Here is a 21,161-nt window from a genome sequence, read left to right on the forward strand (position 1 = left end):
TTTCCCAGGACCAAAATTCCAGATGCAATAACATGTATGTATTCTTTAGTGCAGGCAATGAGGCTCAATTAAAACTACACCTGTTCCTCCATCTTCATTAGATTTCTGGTAACCTGCTAGGGTCCAAGTTTTCCTGGGTGTTAACATCTCAGGGTACGTTGTATCAGGGTGACCAGGAATTCTGGCAGACAGCATTTTGGAAGTACAGAAATAGGTGAGATCCAATTACAGGGGGGTGTTCTATCTGGCTGTGATCCTTCAGTCTCACATTTTGGATTCAGATGGGTAGGGTAGGAGCCATCATACTTAATATCCTGAGAAAATAATTTTTAATAACGCCTCTATGTGACAAAATTATTTTCAGTAACAGTTATAAAATGAAACAAAAATTAATAAGAACCAGAAAAGAAATGTAGGGGTTGACATTTAAAAAACTTATCTGTCTATCTATCATCTATCTAATTACTTACTTAATTTTTTTTTTTTGAGACGGAGTTTTGCTCTTGTCGCCCAGGCTGGAGCAGAGTGGCGTGATCTCAGCTCACTGCAACCTCCGCCTCCCAGGTTCAAGCAGTTCTACTGCCTCAGCCCCCCAAGTAGCTGGGATTACAGGCGTGCATCACCACACCCAGCTAATTCTTGTGCTTTTAGTAGAGACAGGGTTTTGCCATTTGGCCAGCCTGATCTCAAACTCCTGACCTCAGGTGATCCGCCCGCCTCGGCCTCCCGAAGTGCTGGGATTTACAAGTGTGAGCCACTGCACCCACCCTAATTTAACTTTTTACAGGCATGATATTATATGTATTATTATATGTAATATCGTGCTTATAAATATATATATTTATTATATATAATATCATGCCTATAAAAATTAAATTAGCCCAGGTGTGGTGGTCATGCCTGTAATCCCAGCACTTTGGGAGGCCAAGGTGGGTAGATAATATATGTAATTATTATAATTATATATAGCTATATAATTATATATAATAATTATAATATATAATATGTCTGTATAAAATTAAATTAAAACATTTAAAATGAAATATGGTACAAAAATGAGATAAAATTATAGATTAAAGTATTTTAATTATTGACATGTTCTTTGAAAAATATTGCATGTGATAATATTGAATAATAACATTACAGTCTATTTTTAAGCCTTAACTTCTGAAAATTTGTCAATGATGTTGATTGATCTCTGCATATGCATGTTCAGTACACAGTATGGTCAGATGTGTCAATCTATTTTTGCTCATAGTTTATTGAATAACACTTTTTAATTAATTTGTGACTTGAAACATTTCTTTTACGTAAAGCAAGATATCTAAAATAATTAGGAAAAGGCTTAAACATAAGAATACACATGTCAGAAGTTCCTAAATAATCCCATTTCACAAAAATTTCAGAAATTGTAATACTACCCATTTTGTTTTTCCCTCAAAATCAACTTTAGAAGCTTGAAAATGTCTCTGCAGTTGAAAATTTTCCACTAAAAATCTTTAGCATAAAATTTATCATAAATTTTTACTCTATTCTGTAAATATTTCTGAGGTCTTTAGTATTTTGCAAAAATCAGAATTGGCTGGACACTAGTGAATACTGGCATTATTTAATCCATTGCTTAAGAATGAGTTACGTAATTGAACTAACTGAAGTTCTGTTTCTTTGTCTTTACAACTACTGTGCTATTATAGTTTATTTGGAATCTACTGTTTAAAGACATGCATATGTAATACCACAGGGGTTGGAGACAAACTGTGGCCAAAGCAAGCTTCAGTAAGTGGTACAATTAAAAGTTCTCTGCATTAACTTTTGTAGAATATGATGTTTATCAAAGGATAAGTGATACAAATGTGATGATTTGAAGTTTATATATATTATTAAAGTTCAATCCTATCTGCAGCAATTGTTTTAAACATAGACCAACAAAAAGAATTTTCTGGGGAGAGTATTATTGCCATTGTTTAGAATTGCCAGTGCACTGTGATAGTAAAAAGCAGACTAACTTCTATTTGGTTTTATTATTGTTTTTAAATTCTGTACAGACTCCCCATTGCCCACACTAGGAACAGTTCCACCCCCTGTGTGCCACTGGGAACAGGTCTGTAGTGACGCCTGCCTGATTTGAGTTCTGTTCTTCCCCCAGCACCCCTGACAAGTTACAAAGCTGACCTCAAGCTTTTCTCCCTTCCATACCTGAAAAGTGAGTTTCTGACATGGAATTCTTTGGAGAGAGAAAAAGAAAAAAAAAACAAAAAACCTCCCACCCTGCAAACAAACAAACAAACAAACAAACAAACAAAACCAAACAAAAAAAAAAAACAAGTTTAATCTCTAATAAGGCATTCTGCTATAAGGGTAACACAAATCTTCACCCTTTGTAACATTCTTAGTCTCCAGTGACCTGACCTATCAGCAATTGTTGTCTTTGGGGTAGATGTGGAGAGAAAACTTGTGCTTCCCAGAGAGGCCAACCTTTCACAGATTGCAGGCAGTGCTTTCAGAAGTGAGAAACAAGCACTCTGTGCTCACACCCCAGCATTGGATCCCCCCCAAGGTCTGTCACTGATCTGTTGTGTAAACGTGGGCCAATTACTTACTCTGTCTGCGCAGAGTATCTGTAAAGTGGGGATGGCAGTAGTACCTGCCTCCTAGAGATTTTGTGATGATTAAATGAGAGAGAGGCACCTAGAACAATGTCTGGCACATAGAAAATATTCAATAAATATCAATTAATAGTTTTCCTCTTTTGTATAATGGTCATTAAGAAATGCATGAAAGAAATGTGCAAATCAAGAAAGACGATTCTTTCATGGGTTTAAGTAAATGCTCTAAAAATTTTATTTCTGAGACTAATCTGATTTTAGTTTACATGGAAGCTGGTTTATCCTATTAGCCATATTTTTTAAAAGGGCTACACCATCTATACATCATTCCCACTCTAGATAAATGGGAGGAGATTGGATTCAGTCTGAGTTTGCATGGTAAGAGAATCTGGGACCACAGGGAAGGTTTAACTGCACAGCAACTCAAATTCCCTAGAAAATCTATGGAAACAGCCCAATTACAGGGGATGACTTGAGTCTGAGGGGAGTTGACCCCCTTTAATAGCTTGCAATTTAATCCTTGCCACTATCCAAGTTTAGGCCCTGGCAACTAGTATTTCAATTATTTTTATCCTTCTATGCTTCTTTTCAAGAACCTAACACACTTCTCTGCCAACACTTAAGTTAAATAGGAAGACTAACAGATTAAAGCTTTGTTTCAAAGGAGGTTCCTTTGTTTTAGCTTCTTAACTCTTAAGCTTCACTTTTGACAACTTCAAGAATCTACCATTCTACTTCACTACCATTCTATCTTAATTTCCTTCACCTATCCATTAAGACAGGTTCCTCACTGTATTGCTTATTCTCTTTCCAGTCTTTTTTTCACCTCTCTTTACCTCTAATACCTTTTCTCCATAGTGTAGAGGAATATTGTCTCTAACTGTCCCCAGCATAAGATGAAGAAACTGACTCAGAATGCAAAATGACTTGCCTAAGTTGACATGTTTTGTTTACTCCATGGCAAAGTTGATCCTAGACTTCTGATTTCTAGTCTATTATTTTATTCTGAGTAGCTGTTGCAATTGGATTTCAGAATGCAGGTGTAGCATTCCCTTCCTTCATAGGTGTTTCAGTAGCTGGGATCTGCTTTTCACTTTCCTCCCAATAGACAACAAGAGACCCTGAAAACTCTTATAAGTTTCAATGAGATTCAAATTGGGACACACACACGTGTGTGTGTGTGTAAGTGTGTTTGTGTATGCTGAAGATTTCAGGGTGGAGAATAAAGCTAAGGGATAGGGTAATATTTAATTGACAGGTAATTTTGTTATGAATGAGTATTTGAGGCCATAACATTTCAATAAGTCCTTCCTTTTTGACCTGGTTTCTTCAGTCCATAGACTTACACACCACCCTGGGGTCCCTTTGATCACTTTTGGCCAATGACCATATAGTCTTGAATGTTAATTTTATTGCTTCTAGTTGGCATTTTTAAGAACAAGTGCTTTGTGCTCTGTGGTTTTCATTGAACGGAGACATGGATTGGAAGCTAGCATATTCTCACTCTCATTTGAAGCCCAAAATGAAAGTTGGTCTCCCAGGTGTCATAGTAATAGGCAACACAAAATGTAAATAAACATATTTCAATGGAATTTTGATAGGCATATGTAAGAAAGATGGCTGCACTTTAGTCAGGAGGAGGCTGAGGCGGCCTTCCAGTGCAGAATGACTCAGCGGGTTTGCAGCACAGGCGCACAACCCCACACATTATGTAACCACGTCACGTGAGGCACATTAGGTAACCACTCACATGAACTTGTGCTTGGCTCGGAGCCACTATTGTCTGTAAAAGGTATAACTATCCTGCTGACAATATACATACGGCTGGCCCCCATAGAGAGAATAAAGCCATGTCACAACTGCCTAAGATTCCTCAAGTGTTTTTCCAGCTACCCACCACCTACCCACCCACTACTCTTGGATCTCAGCTTGGGCTTGAACCTGACAGCATAGTGCTTAATGTAGTTCAGACATGGGATTAGGTGATTTTAAAATAATTTTTATCAATCAACATAGTAGAGCCTTTCTTTAGTCCTTTCTGAGTCTAAAAGACTTATACTATTTACATATTAAAAAAATGAATATCAACATTTCTGACTATTTTGACAAAGAGAATGCTGTAGGAGGCATTTCTGTAAGAAAAGGGTCCTTGGGGAAACTTTTAACAAATTCTCTTTTCATGTAAACTTTCAAGAAACTGAAATTAAAATATGCTTAAGACTTTGTCCATTTATATTTATTTCACAAATAGGAACAGCTACATATACAATAATTAAAGAACAAGTTCAAAAGGACAACTGATTTATGTCACTGTTAGGTCTCAAACCTAGAATTCCTAAAGATAAAAGTTTGGGTCTACGATTGGGCTCATCTTATATTTCTTTGGCAAAAGGTAGGAAAAATTGAGATGATATAAATTCTCTTTGCCTCATACTCATTTATTTTCCTCCTACTATCATAGTGATCATTTAACTCAATTTAATTCTAGAAGCATTTATTCAGTAACTACTATGTACCAGATTCTGTGCCAGGTGCTCTGGATGATACAAAATTAAATAAGATATACTTAAAACTGGGCATACTTCAACTAAATGTGCTATTATTTTTATACTAGTGCTATGAATGGTGTAAGCAAGCCTCTTTTGAGAGAGAAGAGCTTCACGGAGAAGCAGATTTTGCTGGTGGTGAAACAGGGGAAGGTCATTCCTGGCAGAGGGAGCAGGTGAGCCCAGGTATGTTTTGGAACACTTAGTGCATGGGGAGTGTGCAGGAGATGAGGCTGGAAAGGAAGGACAGGGCAGGTTACTAAAGGATTTACCTGCATGCTCAAGGGTAACAAGGTTAAAGACTGTCTTCCATGAGCAATGGAGGATCAACAGTGTTTACAAAGAGTATGAGGCATGTGGAAGGAAAGCTAGGGATGTTGACTCCTGATGGCCCTGAGTCTCCTGGGGAGGTGAATGACAGGATTTCTGCTGCGACCCAGGAGTTAGCGGTGAGGTTAGGATACTGGGAAGAGTGCAGTCAAGTGTTGAATAGGTGCTGTAGGGGATAGAAAAGGAAGCCAACCGGTAATGAGCAACAAGATTGGTAAACAGTATCTAGCTAAAGATGAAAAACGTCACAAATTTCTCATATAGCTAATTAGTATAGGTATACCAATTTTCTGCTGCAACATTCAACAGTCAAGGTACAGACAGTTGTGTTGATATCACTACTAATTCTTAATTTCACAGACACATGTTGCTTGATGTCCCTGGAGTCCCCCAAATACTTGTAGTCACTCTTCTTTTATTAAGATCTGTGATGAAGGCCAAAAATGTGCTTTTGTGTCCTGAGGGGTGGGGTGGAAATATTTATCCAAGAATAGACATGACGCCTTTTTGACAAGAGACAAATGTTTCATTCAAATGCTGCATTTCGCATATTGGAAACTGTAATGAATTTTTGTGCACCTCTCTACCTAGTTCACAATGTCAGGCCCAGGCATTGAAGCACCTCAGGCTTCCCTCACAAAATTAAATTTAATGCTATACCCTCCAGTAAAATGGTACATAAATCAAGCATTTGATTTGCATGGACTGCAGCAAGCAGCTCCGTTCTGGACAAATATAAACCCAACTCTGAATATTATGTCAGGGACAGGAACAAAGCAATCTAGGACTTCCAATAAAAGTCTGGTACCAAGGGTAATTCATGCTGGTATTACTGCTCTGTGTTAAGCCTGTTATTAGAACTCTTGTTTTAACCTCCTTTTTTCATTTCAAAAGAAAATGTTTTTTTTTTTTTTGACCTCCCTGTATTCAGAAAACCAGTGCACACTCAAACCAGTACTATTTATAAACTGGTATCTACTAGGACAACCATGGGCATATTTATTTTCTTCCCCCACCTACCCCTACCAACATAGAGTACAGGAATGGGGTACATATGAGTAATCAAGAGGAAAGAAAGAAAACAAAGGGCATGGAATAAAATATACCACAGGAGATTAGGTAACATGGATATTCACTAATGTTCTACCTTTGGCCATAGTCCCAAGAGAATGGAAAGAACAGTTTCAGGGCAGACAAGTATAAAAAACGATGCAATAGCCAAATTTAATGCACATTTGGATGCAGAACATGCATCCAATTCAGGAAAAGTGAGCCTAACTATGCATCATTTGGTCTTGTTTCTGGCCTCCAGCATATGCTGAGTTATACATTTTCCTTATATTCATATTTTCCCCATCACAGGCTATCTGAACTTTTTTTTTTTTTTTTTTTTTTTTTTTTTTACTAAAAGTAAAATCACAGTGATCTGAAATTGACTGAGGCCTTGAGATAAGAAACATCTTTACAAATGCAAAATGAGCCCCCCCTTAATCCCCTGAGAACATAAATAGATCATGGACTTGCACATATTCTACTCTACATCAAGGCCTGTCATGTTTATTCTGGAATGTTATAAGGGTATTACAAACAGAGCTCGCTCCTGAAGCCAAGTGCATTTCCAAGAAGGCACAGCTGTCCAGAACACATAACCAGGTGAAGATGTGATCCTGAGAGCTGTGCTGATGATTTGGTATCTGCAGTGTAATTTCTCCCAGCTGTCACCGAACATCTGTTCGAATTTAGAATGCTTCAAGATCTGAATAGGTGAAAGTAGGTGTCTGAAAACATAAATTTATGATGTTTTAAGAATAGTAAATTAGGATTCATTTGTGAATGGAATACATCAATACATATGTATTAAATGGATACAATGTGTCAGTCACGGTGCTAGGTACTAAGGGGGATGTCAAAACAAAATCAGACCTAGACTCCACTTCCAGGGAATTTATAAAAACAATTTAAAGTCTAAGAGATATATATAACTATCATACAAGATGAAAATGTCATAAGGTATATAGATATAGAAGAGGGATCAGCACATTGGAGGAAATCAGAGAAGGCTAAGCAGACAGGATTTGGCTGTATAAAATGGGGGTAGGAAAGGAGATACAGTGGGAGAAGAGCAAGGGAACAGGAAATCCCACGCACAGATCCTGCATGATGAATATTAACGAATGCCACACTACTGAATTAGTGGGTGAATGAAGACAGCAGAGAGAAATGAAACTGGAAAGGTAGACTTGGGGACAGGGATAGAAGGATAGGGGACAGCCATTGAATACTGGACTAAGCAGTTTATTTTATTTTATTTTATTTTTTATTTTAATTTAATTTAATTTTATTTAATTTAATTTAATTTTATTTTATTTTTGAGAGGAGTCTTGCACTGTCGCCTGGGCTGGAGTGCAGTGGCCTGATCTCGGCTCATTACAACCTCCGCCTCCCAGGTTCAAGCGATTCTCCTTGCCTGTCTCCCAAGTAGTAGCTGGGCTTACAGGTGCCCGCCACCATGCCCGGCTAATTTTTTTTGTATTTTTAGTGGAAAGGGGGTTTCACTATGTTGGCCAGGCTGGTCTTGAACTCCTGATCTTGTGATCCGCCAGCCTTGGCCTCCCAAAGTGCTGGGATTACAGGCATGAGCCATTGCGCCCGGCCTAAGCAGTTTATTTTAAAAATTAAGCAATATGGAGTCATTAGGGATCTGGGGGCAAGGAAATGACATGATCTACTCTGCACTTTTGGAAGCTTTATGTGGTCACAGTGTATAAGATAGATTAAAGAACAGAGATTGGTATTAAGGAGACTGGTTAATCCTAAAGAGAAGAAACAATAACCTAAAAAAAGAGGAGCAGTGGGAACTCATAAGAAGAGACAGAGTATTACGCAAGTAGAATCCATAGACTTGGCAACAGACTGGTGAACAAGATGAGAAGGTTGAAGATGATTCTGAGGTTTTGATTGAGTGAACAAAAGAGTCAGAGAAGTTAACAATAAACCTCAAAAAACTTAATTTTTTTCCTTTATCTTGAAAAGATCAATGCTTTTATAAAATAGAATGTAATGTAGTTGCATATCTTTTACCTGAGCTCAAAATTCAATTTACAGACACCTGCTATTGTAAGCCTTTTATTTCACACATAGTAATTTGGGTAAAGTTGAGTGAGTTACTTGGAGTTGGGAGAAAAAGGAGAAACAAAATATTTCTAAGTGGTTGCTGTGGTTATAAAATCAGCATGAAAGTTCTTGGCATTTATCATCCTGATTATTACACTAATATTTTTAGAAATCATTACAGAGAGCCAGAGTTTACCATATCCCAAATAGAGCAAACAGCTAAGTGAAGGTACATTGACCTCGTTGATCATGATTTAAAGATTCGTATTGGAATAGAACAGCATCCAGTCTTATCCAAGTTTATTTTGAAAGTACAGTCAGTCCACTTCATGGATAAGGTGTTTTCTAATTGACTGAAACACCAAGCAGGCTGATCTCTAAGCCACTCCATCAATACCCTTACAGAGAAAACCTGCATCCCCTTAGCCACCTCTCTCAGGCCAAGTGATTAAGTGTGCATTGGTCATTTAGCATAATAAATGTGAAGTAAGAGCGATTGAGTGTTGCCATGGGCCTCCTGCTGTGGAAATAAATGCCCTCCACCTTAGCATGCTTAGAGCAGACACAAAGAGTTTGCTTTAAAAGTGTTAAGGAGCCATAAGCACCCTTTTAGTTTTGAAACAGAGCCTTCAGGTAGTTAATCCTATCTGTCAGGCAATGTGGAAATGTGATCTGTTATCACTACCCTCTACATTTGAAATAAATCTATTTTAATGGGAAACAAAAAGTGGCCCTTTAGTGATCATTTTCTAAAATGTAACATGCACCTCCTTTAAGGGGCATTACTACCAGTATGGCAGAAATCACATGAACCTTAGAAATAGCTACTAGGGAAGGAATGAAGACTCCATTTTGAAAATTTCTTCTTTGCTCTCAGAAATCAAAGAAAGAAGAGTGCATGTTGCAATGACAGAATCTATTTATCACTAAGCAAATGCACAAAAGATATTGTTCTTTCTTAAGATTCTTAAGCATATTAAGGAAATTAGCTATATTAAATTCACCAAGTTTCTGATTTTGTAAATGTATTAAGTCAACAAAATCGCTAGTATAGTCTGGTTATTAATTCTAGTTGTCTCTGCTAGATTATTTGATCCAGGTTATTGCTACTGTAGAAGAGACATAGTTTCATATAAAATGAAGCAAATGTTTGATCAAATTAGGTGCTATCATTTGAGGCGGGGCATATTGAAATTAATATCCTCACATCTCCACTTGCCATCCCCAGAAATTTGCCTCTGACCTGCAATAAATAGTTGTGGTTCTTGAGCTATTTAAGCCTGATTAAGGTATTTGTTATGCATTTGACAGTACACAATAGTGCACAATGTCAATTCTCAACTGTCATCATTATGATTAAAAAGGGTAGAAGAGAATGACCCCTATGTGGAACAAGTTGTAATAAATAATGAGAATGCCATGAACCTCTAACGCAATCACAGGGTTTAGCCAAAGTGAATAAAAACCCTAGCAAGATCTCTAACAAAAAAGTTGCCAAACAGATTATGCTGGATTTTCTTATTCATAAAAATTATGTTTTGTTGTCCAGCTATGTAATATCCTCAATTGTTAGGGGATCTTGTTATGAATACTAATGAGAAGAATGCAATTGACTTCAGAGAAGCACCCCATATAACCTCCCTGTTAAAGGTTAGCTTATTGGAAGCTTTTTAATTTGAAAAATAATTTAGGTTAAAGGAGGCAGCCCAATCAAAATTCCAGCAAAGAGAAGACTTCAGCATTAGGAGAAATGCCTAAACCAGTGGTACAGCTGGGTTAAAAAAATCCTATAGACATTTTTAAAACCGAGGCCTGATAAGTGTTCATTGGTTTTGCTCAGCAGTCTTAAGACGAGCCAAATGACAGTAATTCAAGCCGGTCTCTCATCTTGAGAGGCCTCAAAGTGTGTCAGTGCAATGCCAAACATCCAGTTTGGCCAACTTGTTCACTGAATTGTCTCCCCCTGAAAGCCCACTTTTAAACAATGATGAATTGAACAACAACAACGATGACAACAACAGCAGTAAAAACAACATTAATCACAACTTTTAGGAAGAATCTACAAGGCATTGTGTTTAATACTTTTTGTGGATTATTCATTTATCAACAACTGAAGTTGATACTATTATTACCTTTTTCGTAAAAGAGGGGAAAAAGGTTGAGTAACATGCCTTGGCTATGTGGTGTATTTGGGCCTCAAACTCAGGCAGTCTAGTCATTCGTGTTCTTTCATCCATTATGCTATATTTCTTTATGTACTGTATGTAAACAGATTTTTAAAAATCGAATCTTGTTTTCATTGTGGCAGAGATTGTTTTATTTAAAAGATTCTTAAGGTTATTCTTCTTATAAAATTCTCATTCATTCATTTAAAAAATATTTATTAAGAATCTGCCATGTGCCTAGCACTGCTGATGCTAAAGGAACAAAGGATTAGATACAGTCCTTGACTTTAGAAAATCCTCATTGTGTCAACTGGGTTAATTTAAACTAAGGTACAACTATATTTATATATGTGTCTTTTGGGCATAACCATGGTCTTCATGTTTTTAATATGCTACTTAACGTCAAATTTGAATTTTCATGCCAAATTTGAACTTGCAAGCCTGGGCTATTATTTTTCCAAAGTGGAAGTAACTTCTATTTTTGTGGCTAATTACAAAAACGGGCTGGGCATGGTGGCTCATGCCCATAATCCCAGCACTTTGGGAAGTCAAAACAGGAGGATTGCTTGAGGCCAGGAGTTTGAGACCAGCCTAGGCAACACAGTGAGACCCTGTCTCTACAAAAAATTAAAAATTAGCCAAGCCTTGTAGCACACACCTATAGTCTCAGCTACTTGGGGGGCTGAGGTGGGAGGATGGCCTGAGCCTGGGAGGTTGAGACTGCAGTGAGCTGTGATCATGCCGCTGTATTCCAGCCTGGGTGACAAAGTGAGACCCTTTCTCAAAATAAATAAATAAATTAATTAAATTAAAAAATAAAAAATAAAAATAATCAGGCGATACTTAGTAACACAAAGGAAAAAGTGAAATCCTCTATAATCCTTATCCAGTGACAACCATTACTAATACTTTTGTGCATTTCTAATTTTCTTCAAGAATTTTTCTTTGTCCTTTTTAACACTATCTTTAGTGTTTTATAACATGCTCAGTATACCTATTAACAATACTGGGTGAAATATCCTTCTATTCTTGGCCAATAAATACAAATTTACATAATCATTCCTAATTATGTATAGAATGTTATTTACCCACACTTTATTTTATTCATCCCCTTTGTTGGACATTTAAATTGTTTCTAGTGTTTTTATTCTTGTAAACAATTTTTTGATGGCACACTTGTACATCATTCTCTTCATTCTTATTCCTGTAAGATTAATTTCCAGTAACAGAATTGCCAAGCCAGAGGCCATGCTTCCCTTAAGAAAAGCCCTTGATAAAAATATATAGAATACTCTCTAGTTTGTAGAAAGTTTTACTCTTAGAAGTATTGCATGAAATTGCCGATTTTCTAACCCATCATGGTCAATATGATGAAAATGCACAATGTTTATATGGAGATTGATCACAATAAAATATTTTATATATATTATTTCATACATGCCTTACAACTGCCTGTGAAATAACTAAGGCCAGCTTATTATCTCCAATATATGGTTGAGGAAGCTGAAATTTATCAAGGTGAGATTCCTCTGGATCTAGCTGCCCATTACGATGATGTCTCCAGCCAATTTTGTTTCTGATGCTAAACATCAAGAGAAGAGTAAATTTTGCTTTACCTAAGTAATAGTCCTTCATTAAAGACCTTTCATTGTATATTTTTTTTCTTCCAGACAGGCCTGATAGAAGTCAGTCTGACTCTTCCTTGACCACTTTAAGCCCCAGTAGCCGGCCCAGATCCTCCCACGATTCTTGCTGCCTCCCGAACTGCAGTGTGAGCAAATGAGATAAGTACAAAATATTCCTACACCACTGGCTCCATGCTCTCCTCATATTCAATCATGAAGACTAATGAACCAGAGATGATTACGGTGGTAAAAATCCAAATGCAGATTTTTGCTGTCCTTACTAATGAGAGAAAAATATAGTAGACCATTGGCCTAAAGGCTCCAGATGCGATTCCTTTGTAACTTAGAGTGCATTAAAAAAGCTTCAGTCAGCAAGATAAGTTAATTTTTTTATGACCTTTATAAACTCTTTTAGCCTGTATCTCGGGAGCTTCTTAAAGATTAAATTTTAAAAAATCCTTTTAGCTCAGGCCAACACAGCATCTGAGTCTTTTTTGCTTCCAAGGCTACATCCAAAATCTATAAAAAAATTCTGTTCATGACAATTATTGTCAAAGTAATGATTAGCTAACATGTCATTTTTAGTTTTTACTGTTCTTGCCTCTATGAGACTAATCCAATAAAGCTCACATCTTCTTAATGTAAAAGTTGCATGAAGGATGCATTATTCCCGTTGACTTTGCCTACATTTGCAAATTCTTGAAAAAGCAAATTGAATTGTCACTAGTGGCACCTCTTTCACAGGATGATTGTTGGGTCAAAGTGAGAGTGTAGGGGACAAATATCAAGATTTTTGTTAAAAGAAAAAAATCCCTACCTAAGAACTGTAAAGCTGTATTAATATATAATTGAGGCCATGGACTTTAGTAGACCATAAGGCACAGCTACCCAAGGTGATGGGTATAATTTTGCAGGGGGAGGAATGTCGGAGGAATGTGAAGGGCTCTTCATTGATGGCATCACAAATTTAATTTATTATGTGAAACATGTAGTTTCTTCTCACCTCTTTGGTTGTAGGATAACTGCTCCTTTTAAACACTGTGCTTTTGACTGGCTTGATTGGTAACTACAAAAGTCATCATCCTAGGCATCTGTCACTACTTCTATTACATCCAACCTACTGACCCAGAAAATCTGTGGTTGACACAATTGATTTCTCTAAAAGATTCATTCAGCATTTATTTTATTTTTGACATCCACCTACAAGGTCCCACAGAAATTTAGTACCTACATCTCTGTGTAAGAGAAACACAGCCCTTTATAAAAAGTGCATATCCTGAAGTGAGGAGCTGGAACAAAGCAGGAGTCTTGCTTAGAATGATTCACTGAAGTAACTGGATTTATTAAGATGTATGTGAGCTTTGGTGACTATGCCACTGAAGACATTTGTGCTCACCTCGTGAGAGGCTGCCACTGGAAATAACAACAACTAATAATAATAATAAAAGGAAAGAAAAGACTCAAGTTATAAGACTTATCCTTGTATTATCAAACTACTCTGAATCTTAACCTTCTCTATGTCTCTTTCCCTTCTTTCCTCTCGGGATGCCTTCCTTTAGATCCCAGAAAGCATCTTGATTTCAAACTAAGATATACAAGCCACATGGCTTAAATAGATGCTTGACAGTTATCTATTACTTCCCATGTATATTGCCATGCTACCTCATTATATAGAAAGGTTACGTGATTCTTTTTTCAAGGCATATAGATAATTAACTGCCAGATTCAGAATTCACCCTTAATTGTTTATCTTGTAAATATATTGGCATCTTCTCATGTGCTCTAAAATCTAATGACCTGGCTTGGTCATGCATCATCCTATGAATTTGCTGAGAAATGAGCAATGGGAGGGAATATAGAGGTCTGTATAAAATGGCAGTAGTGGTCTTTGCTTACTGAATTCATACATCTAAGTAGATTAAATTATTTCTCTTTTTATCTTGTTAGCTAAGAATTTTCAGCTTGGGCTGAGCCTCAGGTCCAATCAGGTATACTTAATATTTAAGATTTTTAAAATTGTTTTTCTAGTAATCCATATCTATAGTATTTTTATTTTTAGTAACTTAATGGTAATATTCAGGGGCCACATTTTCTGGGGAAATCCTTTTTTTCTAATTTGACACAGGACAATATAAAATGTTTTATTGACTGTATACATAACTGTTCAGAAAGCTCTTATAGCGACTATCTTTTGTCAATTTCTTCTGATTCTACTAAACGTTGTTTTCATTCCATAACAAGAAATGAATGAATGCAATGATTTTGGAGAGGAGGCAGTATCATTGGCTCTTTCAAAGATAAAACACTTCCAAGGTTCCTAGAACTGACTTTTACTATAGTGCCACCATGAAAGATCTGAAGATCATTATTTACTAGAAATAAAGGAACAAGGCAGAAATCGATGACTACACTAGATTTATGTTTCCCTTGCTTTCTATATACATCTCTATTTGTCCTAACTTCATGGGGAGGATATTTAATACATAATGGAAGGAGCCTGTTGCTTTTGATTTATTTTTTGTTTATTATTTTTGGCATTCCATAGAGAAATTCTGGAAATCAATACTGTCTCTCTGTGTGTGTATGTCTGAGTACCTTGGGCACAATATAGGTTTAAAGGTTCTAAAGGGACAAAGAAACCCCCTTCACTGGCTGAGCTCTCTTTTATTATATCAAATTATAACATTTACTCATGAAAGAGAGTTGCCTTTCTTTCTGTGTATGTTTTACATGACATTGTGAGCACAGACACAAAGGCTAATTTAATCACAATCACAAGAGCGAGATGATGCTTTGTGTATTTAAATTTATAGATTATTGCCCCCTCCTAGAGCCCAAGTGATTCTCACCAATTCTAGCTAACTCTCTCTTAGCAATTTTATTAGAGAATTAAGATACATCTCAGGTGTACGTGGTAGATGAAGGCGCAATTCATAGAGGTGTTATGAAATTTTAAATTTACTTTGAGTGAATAATGGGATAGTTGGTAATGCAGATGAGGTAAAATGAACCCTGTCTTTAAATAGTTTCTAATCACATATTTGGACTTAAAAACTACAGGTAATCAACACTAATTTATCAAGACCATGTGAACAGGAAATTATATTTAAAGGAAGTGATATGTGTTGCTATTGCATGAATTTATGACAGCTGGATAGAAACTCAGAAGGACAGAATACATGAAAAAAGAATGAAAGTAGCAAGGCTGTCCAATGTTACAAAACAGTGGAACAGCCCCATAGTAATTTCCAGCACCCCCAAACTGGCTCTTAGTAGTGTTGTCTTTTTTTTTGTTTTTTCCTCGTACAGAGACCAGAGAAAATTTCAGATTGGTTCTTCCTCTGGGGTTCTGGTTTCTTGTCTGAGAGACTTGCCTCACTTATGGCTGGTTGTAAGGACTAAGGTTATTGACTCTTTCTCCAGAGTATGACAATTCCATAACAATACACTAAATGATAAACTGATTATAAACAACAGGAGAATACTTCTCATATCTAGTGTCAGTGTGCTGGATATAGAGGTCCAAAGGAAATTAGGAATATGTATTTGGAGTTCAGGAAAAATGACTACATATACAGGACTTGTCAGCATGAGGATAATTGAAGTGATTGGAGTGGTTAAGCTTTCCCTGGGAGAGTATTAGTTATAAAATGCAGGCAGAGGACAAAATCTTCAGAAATAGCAGCCCCCCAAAAGTTATGAGGATTCCTAGAAGGCTGAGAAAGCAGAGTTAGAATGAGCAGTAGTGTTATAGAAATAGTGTGCAGGTAATGCCACAGAAAGGCCATGCAGAATCAGAATTTACAAATGTTCACCGGCTTGACCTCAGGAGGTAATTGGTAACCTTTGCATGAACAGTTTCTGTGGCCACGTAATACTAGGTAATAACCATAAGTTTACTTTGGTTACACTTAAACAATGACAAGTGTTTGCACTTGTAATTTTCTTGATCAAAGTGACGCCTATTTGAATATCAGCCAACATTTCTAGCTAAGACGTTTCTTAGCTAACTTTACATTTGTCATCATACCCCCAAAGTGAATGCACTTTTTGGAAAGGAGCAGTGTAGTCATGTTCCCTTTATTGAGTTTAAGCAAAGAATTGTTTTATGTATATATACATATATATATGTATACACACACACACACACACACACACACATATACACACACACTTTATTTTGGCAATTATGTTGAAAACCTTCACTGAATTTTGGGAATATTTGTTTGTTCACTAAAGTTAAAAGGATTTGAGGAGCAAACATTTGTATCATGAATGTGGTACTCCACAGATGATCAGTTTAGCCATGACCCTCCTACCGGTCCAGTTTGCACACACCACTCTCCAGCTGGTTGTTCCTCACTTCTGAGGCTTCCACTAATTCAGGCCTGGCTGTTTTTTTTTTTTTTTTTTTTTTAATCATCCACCAGTGCCTGAAGTTTGTTTAAATTGTACGCCTAGAGATGCTCTTTATATGTATGTTTTCATTATGAATGTTATTAAAAATTAATGGCTAGCAAATACTACTTACTATGTATTATATACTACAAAAAGCATGTTAAAAGTGTTTTATTTGATTCTCTCTCACACACAGAAACCTGTAGGAAGTGTTATTATCCCCATTTTATGGATTGCAAAACTGAGACTCTAGTTCACAGAAACACTTGGTGGCAGAACAGGGGCTTGAATTCAGGTATCTCTGGTGTTGAGATTCTTGATCTTAACTACTACTTATACTACTTCCTAGTTATTTGTATGATCAATTGTTAAAGTATGATTTCCTACACTTTTAAATTTTGGTGCGTGACTTGTGACTATTTCGTCTTCAAATTTGGTATAATCACAAATTTAGGTACAATAAGTAATTACAAAGCTGTGCATATATCTCTATTAATTTTAATAAATGAGAAGCTTAAGAAGATCTTAGATACTCTATTACTTTTTGAAATGTCATGCTAAGAGTAGTAGAACACTATATGACATATTAAGACATTCTGGACATCAGATTTCAAATTCAAAACAACCACATTTTTAAAGAAACAAAATAAATGATTACTAGTGTTGCCCCCTGAAAATAGAAAATAACATTTTTCATTCTGCTGTTATATATAGTACCAACGTATAAGATTTTATTCAATATAAAGCTACTATTTTTAAAACATACTTTAATACACATTGAAATATATTGGGTATACACCATATCCCATTCTAAGCACTAAAATAGCTCAGTTGTGAATACATTGCATGATCCTACCATTTTATAAACTCTGATTTAGATTTTCTATGAGAGAAGCTAGAAGGTTTCAGAGAAGAATGATACTTGAGCAAATCTATATAGTGAAAATAGGGAATTTCTGAATTTACTGACTTTTAAAAAAAGTGCCCCTCATGTGTATTTGAGAAATAAGAATATATTTGATGGAAAAGTAGGACTTCATAGGCCAAATGCCCAAGGTCACAACTGAAGCCTCAGAAGGTAAAGAAAAGCTGTTAAAGAAAAGTATTTACTAGGTTCATGCTAAATACACACATCACACAGTGCAGGTCTTCTACCACCCTCTGTGTGGCATGGAGTTCCACTTATTGGAAGCACATCAGTTCTTTTTGGAACCATGCAACCATAGTTTTAAAATATGCATCCAAAGAGCCTTATACATCTTAGGCACATACAACAAAAAAAAGTTGTCCTGACTTTATACAGAATACATAGACAATGTCTTCTGAATAAAAATCAGGCTCTTCTAGGACATAAAACTTCTACACTGTATTCTCTTCACATTTTCTTTCACGAAACCCCCACACCCCCAACTATTATTGTAGGTATTTCTCAATCTACAGTATAATTGTTCTCTTTAAAATCTCCTTTTAGGTCAGAGCCAGATCAGCAGTAGGACTCTGATAGAAACAAAGTGACTGGGTTCTGAAACCCCACAAACCTCTGAAACTCACCCAAAGCAGCCAATTACCAAAGCTTTTGCTCCCTTGCAGAGAACACTGGCAGTAATCAGAGGGGCAAATGTGCATCAGCTGAACGAACAACCTCTCTTTAGGGAGGCTGGAATTCCCTGCTGCTTGTCAAGCTACAGTCGATGTGAACAAACCTGTCAGTTTGTCTGCCTTTTCTCATTCTGTACCACATGTGTGGTGTTTTCAGGTTGCACAGTCTCTGAAAATACCAGAATTGGGTTCCAACATTTATCAATAACAATTTATAGCAGATAGCTTTCTGGAAAACAGTAGGAATCTAATGAAGCCTAACAATACAGCCCCCACAAAGGTTTCCAGGCCTGGGATCAATGTCATCAGCGAAATTTATGGGAAGGCCGTGCAACTCTCTGAGATGCAGGGGCATTCTCTGCAACCTGTCTTGGATTCCATCAATTATGGTCTAATAAGGTCTTTCCTGACACAGGAGACATCTCTCTTAGTAAGGCTTTCATTCTGCCGCTGCCTCTGAGATGTACATGTATATGTAAAAACAGTTGTTTTTCTATTGCAACTGTGGCCCTCTGAGAGAGAGGTCTCCATGGGTTTTGTCTGCCTTTCTGGGTTCTGGCAAATCCCTGTGGTTTCTCTCACTGGGTCTGTTTGCTCCAGGGAATCTGAACAGCCAGACACCAGCTCCCAAAATCTCTCTGAGGTGAAACAAACACTTGTCCCTAAAAATTTCACATTCCCTGCATATTTTAAAACTGTGAAATTGACATATCTAGCTGAATATGAATATTACGGCAGCAAAGCTTGTTTGTGGAAATAATGTGAAGTCCGTAGCAGAGGAGTGGACTGTGGTGTATTGGATACGGTTTTGCTCTAAACTTTTAGCTTCCTCAACACGTACAGTACAGAAATGTGAGCCTTGGAGCCTTTGATTCTCCCTCAGGGCAATTCTAGATCATCCTGGTGGTGTCCTCAGGGTTGACTTCAATGTATATTTAACTTACTCCAGGCTGTCTCTTTGAGAGGCCAGTGTGTGGCTCACTCTAGAGGATTCCAGGTTCTCTGAAAGAACTCTCAGTCATTCAGGAAAAACAGATTTCACTTCAGTGATGTACCCATACAATATACACTCATACATATCCACATTTATACACACATTCATTATATGCACACATAATATCCATGCGCATGTATATGTATGTATTTCCATAAGTTTTAGGAAAGCTGCTTTAGGAATATTATATTTTAGTAATGACACATGATTACTTGTCATACTTTTTCTCTGGATGAATAATGCTTTATTTTCTTAATGTGATCATAGCAGCCTTAGGTCAATAATGGGCTGCAGACAGAAGCCAGGCTTGCTTCTAAGACTTAAGTCACATCCTTGATTCAGAATAGGTCTCAGGCTACGTATAGCAGCCTTCTGAGGTAAAGTCTGGTGAGGGAGAAAATCTAGACAGGAAGAAATGGGAAACTCTCAGTTTATCAAGGTACCACCTGTCCTTTACTGTTCTTAAATATCCTTATTGCTAGTTACTCTACCATGGGTAGAGTACCCTTTTCACCATGAATAATTTGGGGGACAAATCCAAGACCATAAAGTCTTTATTAAATAACATAAGAGTAAAGATAAAGATGAAGCCAATCTAAGTACCTGTATTCATTTCCTAGGGCTGCCTTAAGAAATTACCAGACTGAGTGGCTAAAAAAAAAAAAAAAAACAGGAATGTATTCTCTCATAGTTCTAGAGGCTCGAAGTCTGAAATCAAGATGTCAGCAGAGCCATGCTCTTGCTGAAGGCTCTAGGGGAGGGTATGTTCCATGCTTTTCTCGCAGCTCTGGGTGGTGCCAATGATACTGGCTCTCCTTGGCGTGTAGATGCATCATTACAATTTCAGCCTCTTCTTTTCCATGGCATTCTCTGTGCCTATCTTCTCCTTTTCTTATAAAGATCCATGTTGTATTAGATTAAGGGCTCACTCTACTCTAGCATTACCTCATCTTAACTAATTGCATCTTAAATTACCTTATTTCCAAATAAGTTTACAAACCTGAGGTTCTGTGAAGGGCATGAACTTTGGGGGGACTCTATCCAACCCAGTACAATACATAAGGGGTTCCTTCACTGAAACACTCATTAATGCATGAAATCACTATATTAACTTGTTGCTATCTAGAAGAAAATTGGCAACAGCTGGATGTGGTGGCACATGCCTATAATACCAGCAATTTGGGAGGCCAAAGCGGGTGGATCACTTGATGTCAGGAGTTCAAGACCAGCCTGGCCAACATGGTGAAACCCTGTCTGTACTAAAAGTACAAAAATTAGCCAGGTGTGGTGGCACGTGCCTGTAGTCTCAGCTACTTGGGAGGCTGAGGTGGGAGAATCACTTGAACCTGGAAGGCAGAGATTGCAGTGAGCCAAGATTGCACCACTGCACCCCAGCCTGGGCGACGGAGACTCTGTCTCAAAAACAAACAAACAAACAAACAAACAAACAAACAAAAAAAACCCCAAAGAAAATTGGCAAGGTAAGTATTAGGGAGTGAGGATGCAAAAATAGAAAATGTCCAGAACAGTGATGTCCAATGTGGTATTTAATGGCTATTTAAATTTGAATAAGTTAAAACAATAAATTTAAAAATTCAGTTTCTGTCTCACTAGCTACATTTCAAAAGCTTGATAGCCACAGGTGGCCAGTGACTACTCTATTGAACAGTGCAGAAATAGGACATTTCCATCAGTGCAGGAAGTGTGGTCTAGAACACATCATGAAGAGGAGTTACAGCAGAAGTTGTCAGGAAAAGGGAAGGTGGAAAGTCCTGGGAGTGCAG

General features: G+C 37.1%; 2 annotated features.

Annotated features, from left to right (window-relative positions):
• Positions 8,582 to 9,124: an enhancer, noted in NCBI's record as "OCT4-NANOG hESC enhancer chr4:84843248-84843790 (GRCh37/hg19 assembly coordinates)". NCBI's record gives its function as "activates a minimal SCP1, AML or CMV promoter by ChIP-STARR-seq in naive and primed H9 embryonic stem cells {active_cell/tissue: H9 hESC(naive and primed)}" and the evidence as "EXISTENCE:reporter gene assay evidence [ECO:0000049][PMID:30033119]".
• Positions 9,125 to 9,665: an enhancer, noted in NCBI's record as "OCT4-NANOG hESC enhancer chr4:84843791-84844331 (GRCh37/hg19 assembly coordinates)". NCBI's record gives its function as "activates a minimal SCP1, AML or CMV promoter by ChIP-STARR-seq in naive and primed H9 embryonic stem cells {active_cell/tissue: H9 hESC(naive and primed)}" and the evidence as "EXISTENCE:reporter gene assay evidence [ECO:0000049][PMID:30033119]".

This window comes from Homo sapiens, chromosome 4 (genome assembly GCF_000001405.40).
Source record: "Homo sapiens chromosome 4, GRCh38.p14 Primary Assembly".
Lineage (NCBI taxonomy): Eukaryota > Metazoa > Chordata > Mammalia > Primates > Hominidae > Homo > Homo sapiens.